The 17,470-nt window shown below is 36.2% G+C and overlaps 1 pseudogene; it reads left to right on the top strand.

Annotated features, from left to right (window-relative positions):
• COPS5P1 (COP9 signalosome subunit 5 pseudogene 1) lies at nucleotides 13,577-14,736 on the top strand (annotated as a pseudogene).

Genomic DNA, 17,470 nt, shown 5'->3' with positions numbered 1-17,470 from the left:
TAGACCTGCCTCAAAGCAGAGAAAGCCTGAGCCAGGCCTGGCAGTAGTAGGATCATGACTGAGAGTGGGAACTCACCTGTGCCAAGCCCTCAATTTTCCTAAAAATATTAATAGCCAGGGTAAGGAGTCAGCAGATGGAAAGTAGCTAGTGAAGAGGAAAAAAGAGGAAAGCGTGGAGGGAGATGGTTGAAAGAGGCCAAAAGATAAATGTTAACTAGTCCTTACACCCTTAAAAGGCGGATTGTATATTCTATCTAGATTTAGATTCTTTACATTTGCAAGTTTTCCCTAGAACAGCTTAGTCTTTCACCTAAGAAAGCATGGGAAAAATACCCTGGTTATCTTGGTTATCATAATTCTACCCTATCCCCCAAAGCAGAATTAACTTTCCTGCCTGATAGGACTTATGCTGATAGAATGAATATACTGGGTGGGTCTGGGTATGTGTATGGGTCCCACGACAGAATTGAATCACAATTGCAGCACTGCAACACTAACATATATCTTGGAATAATTTTATCATGTGCATATTTTTAAAGCTAACCAAAAATAAATGCAGCACTTTTTCCAAATGCTAATATGTAAGTTAGACTTCTCTTTCAACAAATTGAAGAGAAACTCGCTGGGGTTTTGTAACATGAGAAAGACACACCCAAAAATGTAAGAAGCAAGTGTAGAATTAACTTTACAACTAGGCTTACAGGAATACTGTACAACTTAATCAACAAAAGGGTAAAAATTAAGTAAATGTTCTTATATCCTTACGATGCAGCAATTTGATATGATATAAAGCAACATAGAAAACAACATAATAAAGGAAAGTAACGGAATGCAAAACTTCATTTTGAACCATGTGCAAGTTTTCATTTAAAAATCTGTAAAGAAATACTTTAAAATAATTGAGTAGTTATGTGGAAAATTAAGATTGGAACATTTTCTTGTTTTTACTGTTCATATTTCTATAATAGATAGCTATAATATATTTTAAATAAAAATATATCTGGGAAACAGAATGAATGGGTTAAGCAAACTTTTTCTTGAGGACAGACTTTATCACTAAAGTTCCCTCTTATTTAACTTTGAGAAACAGACCTAACTAGTAACCAGCTAATACTTAATGTTCTTCAATTCCAAATAAACAAAAATGACCCATGCTAGTGAGCAGGTTTTATGGAGCTAAGAAGATGACTGCAGCAGCTGATAAGACAGAAAGTGCCTTATAGTAGATAACAATACCAGAGCACACTGTTTAGAAATGTCTTGGTCTCACTTTGCTCTGCCAGCAAGTTCAGGGAGTTAACAATCAAAATTGCCTCATGTATTTAAACTTTGTGCAGTGAGTCATATAAACATTCTTTTAGTTAAATGGTGTAATAGATCTAAAAATCTCTTACCCGCTTTCTTTTCTCTCTGAGATGTATCACGCTGTGATATAAATACCCACAGTATTTTACAGGACAATGAACTTAGCTTTTTCTAAGGCCAGTAACTTTTGCTGATTAGTGGAAATCTAGAGAGCTGTAAAATGGCTGTTTGGCGCAATCTTGGGGCTCTTAGAAGTACATTTAGAACATATTTTAAGTTTCAATGTGTTCATAGTTCTAAACCCCCCCACCAAAAAAAACTGTATATCCATGAATAGTCATATAAAGGATAAAGCACACCAAAAACCTACGACCAAGGGAACTACTAATTCTGACAAATAGCCAACCCAGAAAACTTGTAATATTTAATTTTGATCTGTTTATTTCTTTTTTTCTACCCTTCTAGGGATGGGCCAGTTGAATAGAAGTTTGAGATGATGGTTTAAAAGTTTTAGTAATGTATTCATTCTTGCCCTAATACAGTATGTTTCTGTTGGTCACATATCTTATCTGCTGTGCTGGGGACTTTTTTTCTCTTCCCTTCTTTTCATTTTTTTCACTAAAGAAACTGTGATGTCATCAATGTTCTATTAACTCAACCATAGCAGTAAAAGTGCCTTATCATTATAGAAATGCTCTACTGCTCATTACTAGGAATGTGACTTGGTTCAGGATTTGCCTTTTCTCTGTGTCAACTGCTCTAGCCTGCCAGGTCTCTCTCAGAAGAGTCCTGGAAAATGAAGACATCAAATACTGTTGGGATCCAGTGACATTCCTCTCTTCAGTCCTCACAGAGTGGGCCTGAAAAGCAAGCCTCCACTTATTTTGGTTCTAATAAAGACTGAACAATGGGTGGCTGTGTGCAAAGCCTTTTTCCCTATCCAGTCTATAGTCATTATCCAAGGAATCTCCATTCACATGAGGATAATGCACAGGGCCTCTCTCCTTGTTTAGACTATAGCTAACTCTATCTTAAGGCCCTCGTTTTCTTTCTGGCATTTTAATCCTTAGACTTACAGAGCTACCCAAGAATTAAATAAGCGAAGTTAGAAGAAAATGCTGATATCTCTAGCTCATGGAATGCTAACGTAAAGATATCTCGTGTTTTTTTTCCTCCAGATGCTATCTATACTTATGTTAAGCATCTTCAGAGACACCATGGATGATCTTCATTCTGAATCCCAGGAAGAATTCTGGAAAGCAATCACCTACCTCTTGATATTTTCTCCGTCAGATATTACCTAAAGGTTTTTATTTTTAATTTACTCTCATCTAGACACAGTTCTTTTTGGGGTTGAGAAAAGTTTATTTTCAGAACTAAAAATTAGCTTTTTGCCCCAGCAAAAAGATGAGATGATATTTTCAAGGAAATGTCTCCCTACAAATTTGACAGTTTTTTTTTTTTAATTGCTTAGTGAATACTGAATTCACTGCTAAAAATAAAGGCATGCCTTTTGGTAGTTTATGAAGAGCATGAAACAAAGTTTGATGTTTTTTGGACTGTTAAGCCACTGTTACATTTATAAGACACCCAACACATAAATAAAAAAAAATATTTCAAGTCTGTACTCAACGGTTGAATTTATTAAATTGGTGCAAAAGTAATTGCAGTTTTTGCCACTAAAAGCAATGGCAAAACCAAAGGTAAGGTCATCCACTGGCTGATACAGTAAGTAATACATAATTATAAAGTAGGCAACACTGGAAACTTAAGATAGAAATCCAGAGTTTGGCCAATAATATTACTGATTTAATGTTTTTTGTTGTTGTTGAGACGAAGGCTTGCTCTGTCACCCAGGCTGGAGTGCAGTGGCGCCATCTCTGTTCACTGCAAGCTCTGCCTCCCGGGTTCAGGCCATTCTCCTGCCTCACCCTCCCGAGTAGCTGGGACTACAGGCATCTGCCACCACGCCTGGCTAATTTTTTGTATTTTTAGTAGAGATGGGGTTTCACCGTGTTAGCCAGGATGGTCTCGATCTCCTGACCTCATGATCCACCTCCCGCGGCCTCCCAAAGTGCTGGGATTACAGGCATGAGCCACCGTGCCTGGCCTTACTGATTTAATTTTAACTCAATTTCTCCTGGAATGTTTTCTAGGCTCCTGATTGTTAATATCATAAATTCCTACTTATGCAAGGCAAATTATAGAATTTACATGGTCAGTGAACTTGGGTTTTCTCTCCACAGTCACTTCAATTTTAGATTAGGTCTTTTCAACAAAAGAAGGATGACTACAGGAAGTTGGTTAAATTATGGAAATACTACTCACACATAACTTGGAATTTCTATGAAAAATACTTAGGGAATGAAAGTAGTTGATTTCAGTGTAGATTTGGAATTTTCTTGGGGGTATCAATTTTATCTTCAGTAGTTTTGTCTTCCATTTACATGGATAGTTGAAGGTTGGCTCTAAGAAAAGTAAGAATAAACCATTAATAAATTTTTGTTTCAAAATTAGTGGATATTTTTATACTGCACAATCTTAGTTGTTCCTCAAAGAAATTCTGAAAAAAAAATCAGCAAAATAAATGTTATCATTTTGATATGATATGCCTCCATTTTTACATGTGGAAATGAATTAATCTCTAAAAGACTTGATTTTTTATAAAATATTTTTCATTTGTATTGTTTCACATGAGAGATGTCCAGTTCAAAATAGTCTATTTTTTTTTTTTTAATAAAAGGAATTTATTGACTCAGGTAACTGTGAACTCCTACGGTGAAGTTTGTTTTAGTTAAGGCTGGCACAGGACATCAAACTCTGCCTTCCACCTCTCAGCATTCCTTCCGGCTGTGAGTTGCCCTCATAGTCCTCTGTGGTAGTATGAAATGCAATCAGAGTGATGGTGACTGGCAACTGCAGATTTACATGATCCAAAATGTGTAACTTCAGAGAAAGATAATTTATTTATCTTAACTCAATATATCCATAGCGGGAAGCCATTTGATTATTCCACATCATGTCTTCAAAACCATGAAGTTCTATGAATAATCAACATTGGGTCTTATGGATTTCTTTTCTGGCATAGAAATGGTGTGTATCTTCCAACAAGTCACATTATGAATCTAAGTAAGTTTTTTAAGAGTCAGGGTCTCAGTCTGTTGCCCAGACTGGAGGACAGTGATGCCACCATAGCTGGCTGCAGAGTTGAACTCCTGGGCTCAGGGGATCCTCCCATCTCAGTCTCCTGAGCAGCTGGGATAACAGGCATGAGCCACCACACATGACTGAATCTAGATAATTAATTGTGAAAAATTACAGAATACTTACTTTTAAATTAGTTTCACTTTTAAACTCTTCCTTGCCATAGGAAATACAGAATAAGATTCACCACTTAAATGTGTATTCAATATCTCAAATTTAACATGTCCAGAACTGAGATTCACCATATCTGCTCTTCCACAATCTCTACTTTAGTTGATGCCTGCTACATTTCCCCTGGCTATTTAGACAAAAAACCTTATGGTCATCCTTAACTTTTTTCATTCCTTATAGCTAATCCATCAGTAAAATCTGTTGGCTCTATGGGTGTCTTAGTCCCTTTGGACTGCTATAATAAAATACCATAATCTGGGCAGCTTATAAACAATAGAAATATTTTTCTCACGTTCTGGAGACTGAGGAGTTTATGATCAACGTGTTGGTAGATTCAGTGTCTGGTGAGAGCCTGGTTTCTGGTTCATAGATGTTGGCTTTTTGCTGTGTTCTCTCATGGTCAAAGGGGAGAATGAGCTCCTTTGGGTTTATTTTATAAGGAATAAATAAATGAATAAATAGAATGAATAAATAGAATGGAATTCATGAATAGAATTTGTAAAATAAACCCAATGTTCTCTCACCATCTGCTATAGTACCACGTGAAATTAACGTATCATTATCTTATGCCTGGATTATTGTAACAGCCTCTTAACTAGTCTTCCTACTCCCATGCTTAGCCTCTTTCAATGTATGTCTTCCACACAGCCAGAGTCTTCCCTTACAGTCTACCTTCAGTCACATAACCCCTCTGCTCAGCATTCTCCAGTGGCTTCCCATCTCATGTAGAGTAAAAACCAAAGTTTTTAAATGACCTAATAAGACAATTTATGAACTTGCTCCTAGTTCCCTTGCTGATCACATCTCCCAATATATTCCCCTATCTCCCTCTGCTCCAGTCTCATGGGCTTCCTTGTTCTTGAACATATCAGCCCTCCTCCTGATCTATGGCCCTTGTATCTGTTGGAATCTCTGCCTGGAATTCTCACCCCCAAATTCTCCATTCTTTACTTCGGCCATCTTTAACTTTCTCATCTTGCTATTATCTTCCTTAGCTAACCTACCTAAAATTGCATCCCATCAGTTTCTGGTCTCTTCCCTACCTAATTTTTCTCCTTATCATTAGTTATTTAATGACCTTGTCTCTTCCATCTAGGCACCATATATGGAATAGTCCCTGTCAAGCTGGCCGCGGTGGCTCATGCCTGTAATCCCAGCATTTTGGGAGGCCAAGGTAGGTGGATCACCTGAGGTCAAGAGTTCGAGACCAGCCTTGCCAACATGGTGAAACCCCATCTCTACTAAAAATACAAAAATGAGCCAGGAGTGGTGGTGGGCACCTGTAGTCCCAGCTACTCAGGAGGCTGAGGCAGGAGAATCGCTTGAACCTGGGAGGCAGAGGTTGCAGTGAGCCAAGATCACACCACTGCACTCCAGCCTGGGTGACAGAGCGAGACTCTGTTTCAAAAAAAAAAAAGAATAGTACCTGTCACATAGTGGGTATTCAATAAATATCTGCAGAATAAATGAATGAATGAGTGAAAAAATGGCTGAGGAAGAAGTGTTGAAGATTGTTGACATCATAAGAGGTTAGTCCACAGAAAAGTGAATTCAGTTCACAATAGACCACATGGTCTAGGTCTCAAAGTACATCAGGCAGTGATGGAACCAATACACTTACAGTATACAATGATTGGCATATACACATATGGCTATGAGCATCTTGCCCTTTCTACTTATTCTCTATTATTGGAGTTCCTCAGTGATATTTGATAGAGGCATCTTCCTGCTATGATCTGTTTTAGTTTGTATGTATATACTGCAGTAAATAGTCACTCTTCTCACCTTTATTACTGGTGATAAAGGAGAAGTAGAGGAAGATGGGAACAAACATAAACAGAAGAAGTAACTGGCACAATTTTGTAGTTTATAAATTATTTAGGTGATGATATTGTTTATAACGCTGATCTATTCAGTTTATTGCCTTTATATAAATAGGAAGTAGGGTTGTATCATTACAATAGCAGCTCTACTCTTACAACTCTCAAAAGAATTTTTCAACATTATCTATTAGTAACTTAAGCTAAAATTATGAACAATGTTAAGGTCTAATAAAACAGTTTTAAAAATGAACCATCTTTAAAAATTTCCACTTATTATTGCTCTTTTGTTCTGAGAGATGTTGCCCCCATAGTTAGCAGAGAACTAACAACCTTAGGCACCCTTGTAATTACCATAATTTGTTACAGCTAACTGACCATTTCTCTTTGTGGATTAGTTTGAGGGTTGCATGTGGCATATGTTAATCTGCAGCAACCTTTCCAAAGATGTTGAATTATGAGCTTTGCAAGACTCTTTTGATGCCTAATTTCATCCAGCTTCACAATTTGCCAAGTTGTATTTTTTTCTTCTTCTAGCAAATGAGCTGTCTGCTAGTTCTTGCCCCCCAACTCTGAACCCCCATGCATTTAAGATTATCCGTCAGTCTTTGTTTGTCCAAAGTTTTTCTATGATGTACCTAATGTGATTTCTTCGTATTTATCCTAGTCAGTTTTGTAGGGCTTCTTGGCTTCTGAGGTTGATATCTTTTGACAGTTTTGGAAAATTCTCAGCCAGTGTCTGTTCGAATGTGATTACTGCCTGTTGTCTCTCTCCTCTCCTTCCAGGAATCTGATGATATTTCTTATTGGAATATTTTACTGTGGCCCATATGTATCTTAGCCTCTTTTGCACACTTTCCATCATTTTTGCTCTCTGAGTAACCCCAGTATTTCCCACTGACCTATTTTAGAGTTCATAATCCTATCTCCTGCTATTAAACCCATCTATTGAGATTCTAAATTCTGTAATTGCATTTTTAGTTATAGAGTTTCCATTTGATTATTTCTGTATCTGTCATTTATGTTTTAAACATATAAATCAAATTTCATATCTGATAACTTCACTAACCAGGTCATCTATACATCTGTTGATTATGTATACTTTTTGTCCCTTGGGTCCTGTCTCTTAAAATGTTTAGTAATTTTTAATTTAGTAACTAACATTGTATCTAAAAAAATTTAGAGACTCTAAATGGTGCTATACTTATAGAAAGTTCATTCTCCTCTGGCAGATACGTATAGTGGGGCTCTATCTACCAATATTCCAACAAACTCTGGTTCTTCCCAATATGGTGTGGTCCTCCAAGGATTGCAATAGGGAACTTGTAGTCTTTATTATACTACATTTTAGAGACTGTGATTTACATTGTATTATGTTGGTGCAAAAGTAATTGTGTTTTTTTGCTATTACTTTTAATGGCAAAACCCGGAATTACTTTTGCACCAACCTAATAGTCCTTTGCCCTTGAACAGTTTAATAATTTGACCAACATCTAAAGTGGAAATCCACTACTATTGGGTTTAGTTCCTTTTCATTCCCACATCTCCAAGATCGTGGATCTCAAGTCCTAGATGTTTGGCAATCCTGTACTCCAACTCTTGTCTGTTCATCTCTTTAAGATTACCAGAAGCTCTGTTGGCTTCCTTGCCTTCCTTCCTAGCAGAGGCCACAGGGGTCTCTAACTCTTGAATTTCAGTTCACATCTCTGCATTGGCCTTCCTACTAAGATTCTCCTCTTTCAAGTGCTGGTTGTCTCACTAGCTCTCTGATACCTTCAAACAGACTTTTTTTGGTTTTAATTTTGGGTTTTATTACCGATAATAAATCTGTTTTCCCTAGTTGTCCTTAGCAAGAGCAATACTCCATTACATTTAGAAGTGAAATTCTGTATTTAAATTTCTAAAGTAAATTTTTATTTCTAAAATTGTAGTTAATTTTTTTGGCACCTGGAATGTTTGCCTTCTGTAAGTCTTCAGCAGCATCATTCAATAGAAATAAACCCATATGCTGCTCAATTTTCCAGTAACCACAATTTTAAAAAGTAAATGTGAAATTAATTTTGTAATATATTTTATTTAACTCAAACTATCTCAAATATCATCATTCAATAAATTACCAGTATAAAAATTAACCATACATTTTACATCCTTTTTTTCAAATTGTTTGTGAAACCTGGTGTGCAACTTACACTCAATTAGATCTCAACTTGAACTAGCCATATTTTAAGCAGGGGGTAGTTATGTGAAGTTAAGTGGCTACTGCATCTGAACATGCAGATGTAGATAGCAAAAAAAGAGGTAAATTTAATAAAAATGTGAAGAAAATGTAGCTTAAGTATATTTTGAAAAAGAAAAGTTGTTACTTTTGGTGATATTTCTGTTAATTAATTTTTTTGTGTTTTATTTTTTCTAGATCTTTTTGGGACCTGGAGAAAAGGGAAGGTAGAACTGATTGATAACTTCTATTTATATAGAATTAAAAGAATATGAAAAGTTTAGATAAAGGAGCATAAATAAAAATCTTCTACTGGCAAACATTTCAGAAGTTTTTTTTCAGAAAACAAAACACATACCAGTCTTTAATTTTTATTGCTTTGATATCTGCTTTAGTTTATTTGAGTATCTGTAGAATGCAGGCTACATGTTTAGGTGAAATTGGTAGACCATGGCTATCTACCCCGTGATACAAAAATCATATTTCTGGGCCTGAAATACCTTCCCAATTCATTTATAGCTACTGCCATATCTGTGGCAGATGGTAAAGCCCTTCCTTAACTGTACAATTAGAGAAAGAAAGAATAAAAGAAAATCCTCAAGAGTTAAATAGCACTAAGAGAGGTAACACATTGACTTAAATTCTAAGAGAAAAATGGGGACTTTCTTGACCTTTCTTCTTACAGCTGTTGATGGTGATACAAGTAATCAAGTATTTAAGCAATGGAGGATGGAAGACAAATAGTCAAATGATACTTGCTAAGATTTACTGGGTACCTGTAACATTGTCTTATAGCTTCACAACAGTTTCTAATGTAGGTGTTATAATTATTCTCAACCACATTCTGCAGATACGGAAATCATGACACAGAAAGGGTATTCGTTTAAAGTTTCATGGCAAATAAATGATGAAACTGGAATTTTAACTGAGATTGACTTGCTCCCGACTCTGAAATCTGAACTGTTGCTCTCTATTGTCTCCCGCATATAACATACAATTTTGCCTTGACCTAGACCCCCTGTTAAAAACTGTGGCTTTTAATATTCTGTGTAATTCATTGCATAGAGATGTCAGAATGATTTTAGATCACCTATAAATACCTCCTGGAGATTACCTGAATCATTGCATTTTATCTTTGTAATTTTAAGGAATATTTGAATTATGCTAGTTGAGAAAGAAAGAGACAAAGGGTGTCAGTTCCCTGGGTTTTGAGTAGATAATGGCAAAGTTTCTCCTATAATTCAGGGCTCTCTGACAGCTAAGTCAATATTGAAAACTGTTAGGGTTAATATTCCTTTGCCTGTTATGCTCAACAGGGCATTATGCAGTGAATGATTCTCTTTCATACTCCAAGATATTCTGACATCAGGCAGATTCAATTTTAGCCATAATTTCATTAAGAAGAATCTGCTGGAAAGACAACCACGGACTGGACTGAACAGTATTATGAGTGAAGTGCTAATTCCATTTTCCCTAACTTTGTTCATATACCTTGGTCTTGTATTTCATTTAATGTAGCATAAGTCGCTTCAACATTAGTAATGAGCTCTTTCAACAACCATATCGCTTCCATTTTCCACCCTATGCTATGTCCTGTGTCTTCTAGAAGTTTCCTCTCCCTGGGGTCACTTGCTAATGAAGATCCTTCTCAATCTCTGATTTTCATGTGGATTTCTGTGCATATTAAAGTTGCCAGCCTGACAGATGAAACTGATCTCTGTCTAAGGAGTGGATAGAAGAGGGAGGCAACAACCCTCTATGTGGTAGCCTGCCAACATGGCTGCTTCTCGCGAGGGAAGAGAGATGCTCCATCTGAAGCCTCTTTGCCAGTAGTATCTGGGTGAATGCCAACTGTGATTATGTGTCTGCTAGTCTCAAGTTCCAGAGTGAAGGAAAAAACTAGTAAAGAGCTTCCTTGGACTCCAGTCTAACTATCTTTATGTCCTCCTGCTTTACGAAAGCAACCTATTATGCCAATTCCGGCCAGGTGCGGTGGCTCACGCCTGTAATCCCAGCACTTTGGGAGGCCGAGGCGGGCGGATCACGAGGTCAGGAGATTGAGACCATCCTGGCTAACACGGGAAAACCCGTCTGTACTAAAAATACAATAACTAGCTGGGCGTGCACGCGCCTGTAATCCCAGCTACTCAGGAGGCTGAGGCAGGAGAATCCCTTGAACCGGGGTGGCGGAGCTTGCAGTGAGCCGAGATCCGGCCACTGCACTCCAGCCTGGAGACAGGGCGAGACTCCATCTAAAAAAAAAAAAAAAAAGAAAAAGATAAGAAATACTGCCAATTCCACTTCAGGTCTGCCCACTGATGTTACACACCTGTCTCTTCAGAAAAATAGATACCTCCTAAGAGCGCAGTGTCAATTCTGAGTGCTGACTTTTAAATTGAAGAGATGGGAATAGAAACTGAACTACTTGTCATCTGTGAGTACTGTATTTTGCCTCTTTTGTAAATGAGAAGAAATTAATAAATACCAAAAAACTTTGAAGTCGGCTTGTTTTTAAATAAAATAACAATAAAAAGCTGTGATGAGTTGTGGTATCACTGTAGCAAAGTAGTGGTTGCAAAATAATCTAGTCCTGAGATACCTAACATGATGCAATTCCAGAATTGAGGAAACCGAAGCATGGTATTGTAAACTCAGTTTTTCTTTCTATTTTTTTATTTGGCTCTGCAAATGAAATAGTACAATGAAATCCAAAAGAATAATCTCGGAAGAGATAGTAGTCCCTTTGGTAAGCAATCTCATAAGATGTATTCTATAGTCAACTAAACGTGTGTGTGTGTGTGTGTGTGTGTGTGTCCTGTACTTTTTACCCAGTCATTCCACCTATAGAAATTTATCCTTGATAGAAGTGCCTGTGAACATATGTACATGTGAACAAAAAATTTTACTGTAGCTGTATTTATAAGTGTGGGGAAAAGGAAACATTCTCAACATTCTTAAACAGGGAAATTACTGTTAATATCCATTTTGGAATAATTTTTCAGGCCATTATATTGCCATCTGATTATTTGTAGGTATGTACAATTTGTTAGAAAAGCAAATGGCATGAAATCAAATATATGATCCCCTTTTGATAAGCACAATGAGATTTAAGAACAACAAACTCTTCCAACCATAATCCCTTTATGTGTGCAAATAATATCCTTGTATGAGCATGGAGAAAGGCATGGAAAGAATCAATCTAAGTTATAAGAAAAGCCTATGCAAGAAAGGAAATAAAGAAGACTTAGGGAAAAATATTTTTAAAAATAAAACATGCAAACAAAGAGATGTATAGACTCAAGTTTATGAAAAGGCCAGGATGCTTGTATTATAAAATCACTTAACTATCTCCTCCATTGCCTGCTACAATTTCTTAATTTTCCCCTGTAAGAATAATTTCATAGATTTTGTGAGTCTATACATGCAAATTTGTCTTTGAATGATGTCAATAAGAGCAATTTATTTTTATTACATTCATTTGTCATGTGAGGTAGATGAGACTGGGGGTATCTCTGACATGAGGTGTTCTTAGGAGGCAAATCTTAGCCAAATATATAGCTGCGGCAGATTCAGGCATCTTAAACTCATGTGAGAATACTCAGAATAGAATGAATGCCCAGTTTGCATATTTTTAGAAGAAAAATTTTTCTAGCACATGCCTCTATCTTCTTATTGGCCTGGTTTTTAATCACGTATAACTCTACACTAATATTGTCAATGGAATGGGATTATTCTGATTGGCTTAAGCTAATCAACATTTTGCCCCTGGAGTTGAGGAGGGACCAATGAGACAGATGGCTGCCTAATAACTAAACAATAGCAGGGTGCACAAGTAAGAAACAAGGCTATAGTAAGAAGCAATGGCTATGGAGCAGGCAACCAACATTGTCCACCCAGCCTTCATTTTATCTACTCTACTAAAGATGGTTTGCCTGAATGGCTGCCTTTCCTACTAAAGAGGATTAATGTACTAAATATATATTATTTATATATCCCATGCATTTAATGCTTGAATACAACGCAAATGAACCTTAGTTTATATAACACTCAACACTTGCTACATACCTTTTCTTTGACTTACTGTGAAACAAAGCTATCCTCAGGTGTTTGGGAGATTTCTCACCAGTGTATACTACTAAAATGCAGGGAGGTAAATGTGAAATTGTTTCAGTAGATTGTTTATGAGGTTATGCATGGCTGGGTGATTGACTCATCAGTTGAATACAGCGGGAAAATTGGCCTTTAGATGTTTTTAACTATAGAAATAATGCTATAAAAATCAGTTGCAAGTCACATAGCTAAATTTCTAGTATTCAATTAAAAGATCATCATATCACACATAATAAAATAGTGTCTTTTGTAAAATAGATAATAACATTTTAAAAATATACAGTTACTGATTTTGAAATTAAAGTGATGCTGCCAAAATTTACTTGCTCCAAATGACTTCAGTGAAAGACTCGTTACAAAAAAAAGTAAAGGTGAATGGCTGTCTCGAGAATCTAGTTAAGAGTTTGCTCCTGGCCAGGTGTGGTGGCTCACACCTGTAATCTGAGCATTTTGGGAGGCCAGGGCGGGCGGCTCACCTGAGGTCAGGAGTTTGAGACCAGCCTGGCCAACATGGTGAAACCCATCTCTACTAAAAATACAAAAAAGTAGCCAGGCATGGTGGTGTGCACCTGTAATCCCAGCTACTTGGGAGGCTGAGGCAGGAGACCCACTTGAAACCAGGAGATGGAGGCTGCAGTGAGCTGAGATCATGCTACGGCACTCCAGCCTGGGTGATGGAGGGAGAGTCCATCTCAATAAATAAATAAATAAATAAATAAATAAATAAATAAAACAAATAAAAATTTTAAAAAAGAGTTTTCTCCTGTGGTGCATAGGGTCTGAAGCCCACACGCAGAGATCTAGGGAGCTAAAGTTGCATCTTGGTTATAGAGGCAACAATTTTGATTCCTCATCGATGGTGACATCCAGGAGCCGTATGGCCTGAAAAACCTGGGAACTGGCCAACAACATGCAAGAAACTCAGAGTATCCATGAAATCTACAAATAGACAAGAAGCAGCAGCATGAAATCCTGGCAACAAAGCCCTGGGTTAACAATCACCATTACTTTAAAGTACTGCAAAATCTCAGCATTAGCTCTACTGAAGATGATGATGCATGCCAGGTCAGGGGGCAACTTGGAAGTGATGGGTTTGATGCCAGGAAAGGTAGATGGTGAAACCACGATTATTATGGGCAGTTTTACTTTGCCTGTGGAGGGCACTGAAACCCGAGAAAATGCTGAGGCTGTTGCATATGAGTACATGGCCACATACACAGAAAATGCCAAAAAGGTTGGCCGCCTTAAAAATGCAATCGGATGGTATTATAGGCACCCTGGCCATGGCTGCTGGCTTTCTGGCATCATGTTAGTACTCAGCTGCTCAATAAGCGGTTCCGGGAACCATTTACAGCAGTGGTGATTGATCCAACAAGAACAATATCTGCAGGGAAGGTGAATCTTGATGCCTTTAGAACATACCCAAAGGGCTACAAACCTCCTGATGAAGGACCTTCTGAGTACCAGACTATCCTGCTTAATAAAATAGAAGATGTTTTTGTACAATGCAAACAATATTATGCCTTAGAAGTCTTGTATTTCAAATTCTCTTTGGGTTGCAAATTGCTTGAGCTTCTGTGGAATAAATATTGGGCAGGTACACTGAGTTTCATTGTTGGGTTTAGAAACACATGATCGAAAATCAGAAGACAAACTTGCCAAAGCCAACAGAGACAGGAGTAAAACTACAATAGAAGCTATCCATGGATTGATGTCTCGAGTTATTAAGGATAAACTGTTTGATCAGAGTAACATCTCTTAAACAGTCACTGAGAAGCACTTTTGCCCAAAAAACAATATGAGAAAAATGCTCAAGTAACACTTTAAAACTAATTACCCAAAATCTGATTAAAAGTATAAGGTGCTCTGACTTGTCTTGAATACTAACATCCTGTAATAAAACTCTTTAAATTTTTTTTAAAAGGGCTTTTATTTGGGCTTCTCTTTTTTGCACAAATTCATTGGTCTACATTAACCACCTTTTTACTTAGGTTTTTTTTCCCTCTAATTTCTCTCCCTTTTTTGAAAGACTAGAGAAACAAGACTTCATTATCAAGTACTCTTTTGTCAAGGTTATATCCGAGCATTGAAATTACTGACCACACTTATTCTCATAATTTTTCAGGACCCTATAACTTTTGAGGAGGGTTTGTATATTAGTCCTGACTTCTAATTTTAAAATATTGGATAGCTAATGAGTTTTAATAACAAAACAAATACTGGATTAAGCTTTAGATAAATGGATTTCATAGAAATCAAATACTTATCTGTGTAGAGCTTGTATCATATTTGCTTTTGATATAAAATTTAAATCAATATTTACTGCATTTAGGTTTAGCTAATCTTTATTTTGAAAGCCAAATAATCAAAAATAAAAATAGCCAACAAAAGCTCATTTTACTTAAAGAAAGTGTGGTAAGTATAAAATGGTTTTAAACATCTTTCAGAAAATAGAATGAAAAATTATAATTTTTTATGTATAAATGTATAAGAAAAATTTTGTCTGAAACATTTAAATATTACTACAAATTTTATCCTAATACTTGATTTATATCCATGTAATTGTTGAAGTAAAATTGACATTTGTGCACCTCTGCTGATTTCTTTTCTATGAAAAGCATCTCAGATTTTGGCATTCTCTCTCTCTCTCTCTCTCTCTTTTTACTTACTGGTAATCTTGTAAATGGTAAACTTGAATATGGGCAGTTGGGAAGCCCTTAGTTTTCTAGAAGGATCCAATTAGGGGAAAACAAGGGTTGGATCAAATCTCTTGGAATTCTTCAGAATGTTAAATCATAAGAATCTGTACTGTGTTGCAACATAGACTAGTTATAGTCTATATTCTTTTCAGAAGAATAATCTTGTATTCAGTGTTTCTAACAAAAGCTAAACAAAAGAAATAATGTTGATGCAAGATCATTTGGAAGATATACACTGCATCTATTATTTTAGATAAGAAAGAGTATACTCCAGAATTTAGCCAGGGCATCCAAAATCATGATAGCCCACTTGTAGGATGGCATTTGCCCAAGTGGGGATGGTAAGAAATATGGGACTAAGGAGAAGATACTATGACAAATTTCTGAAGTCCTTTGTACCACTTATTATAAGGGTGTGGTATTAATAGATGATACTGTTTAATGCATGATATTATACAATGTCCTCTTAATGGGTATCCTTGAGGAAATTTATTTCTCATTCTATGATATTTTATAAGGTTCTCATTTTTAACTTTTTTTCTTGGATTAATCTTTTTATTATAACTTATTTTATTTTGCTTTATGTTGTATATATTTTAACTTTCTTTTAAACTATTTTGGATCATGCCCAAGATACATAGTTTGAGGCAGAATGAGAGAGAGAAGAGGAAAGAAAAGAAGGGAAGGGAAAGGAAGAAAAGGGAGAATGAGAGAATTCTGTTTTGTATTTCTCCTATCATAAGTTATAGGCTCTTACAACAAAGGGGATCGTAGAAATAGAATTAGTGATTTCTCCTTTGGTTTACAACAATGTTTTTTTTTTACAAATAGCGTTATTTACAACAACGTTATTTTGAAAATGTAAGAAATTTATGTAAATTTGTTAAATGATATTCAGATTGACTTTAAAGAAAGCTGTTGGATTGGATCAAAATAGATGAATTTCAAATCCAAACAAAAATTGGAGGTTTTCAGAAGTCAATAAACAGGTTTTTATCTTACTTTTTTGGTTCAAAAAAATTTTTTTGTAGATACATGGGCTCACTATGTTGTCCAGGCTGGTCTTAAACTCCTGGCCTCAAGAGATCCTCTCACCCTGGCCTCCCAAAGTGCTGAGATTACAGGTGTGAGCCCCTGCGCCCAGCTTATCATAGGTTTTTAATAGGTAGTTTGATAGTTTATTTGACTATTAGCCTGGACAGGCTAGTTTGGGGAATTAAAATTGGGTATTAATTATATCAATTCTAAAAGTATGCACTTAAGCAAAATCTGGATTATTTTCCATCACAAAGTTTATTCTCTCAAACTGTCCATGATTTTGGTTCTAAGGGAAACTGAATAAGAAGTTTGTCATTGAAATCTATTATCTTACTGGAAAATCTCTTAAAGTAATTCTTGAAGTATATGACCTTTTAACGAGATACAATAAAACAGCAACTTGATTACTGGTAATTGTTAGTGTGAACTTTACTGATAGTTAAATTTGTAAAAAGACAACTAGTTTTGTTTTTGTGGGATCAAAAATGTATTTCAAGCAGTTTATATGATAGTTTCCAAGATTAGAAAACCTTGGCCTGATTCCAAAACTATGAAAAAAATCAGCTTCAATATTCAACGCTAAAGCATTCATGAGAGAGATGCAGTCATTCAGAAAGCTGAGTTCAACATAGAACAAAATGAAAACCACAGCCTCTCAGACCACTCCCTCCTTCCACCTTCTCATATTGCAAATACAATATTTCCATTATCAGAAGATCCATTTTCAAGTCAGAGCTGCTGCTAAAACAGCCTAACTGGAGGGGGAAGAAATGGCAAAACAGTAAAAAGAAATGCTTTGTAAATCACCCTTCAAAAGCTGTCCTGGGAGGAATGTGATATACCTCAGCATCTTATGTGTTTAGCAAATAATTTCAGCTGTGCATTCTAAACGTAGCTTTCCCTCCTTT

This window comes from Homo sapiens, chromosome 6 (genome assembly GCF_000001405.40).
Source record: "Homo sapiens chromosome 6, GRCh38.p14 Primary Assembly".
NCBI classification, from domain to species: domain Eukaryota; kingdom Metazoa; phylum Chordata; class Mammalia; order Primates; family Hominidae; genus Homo; species Homo sapiens.
The sequence above is the reverse complement of the archived record's forward strand: the minus strand, read 5'-3'. Positions and strand labels throughout refer to the sequence as shown.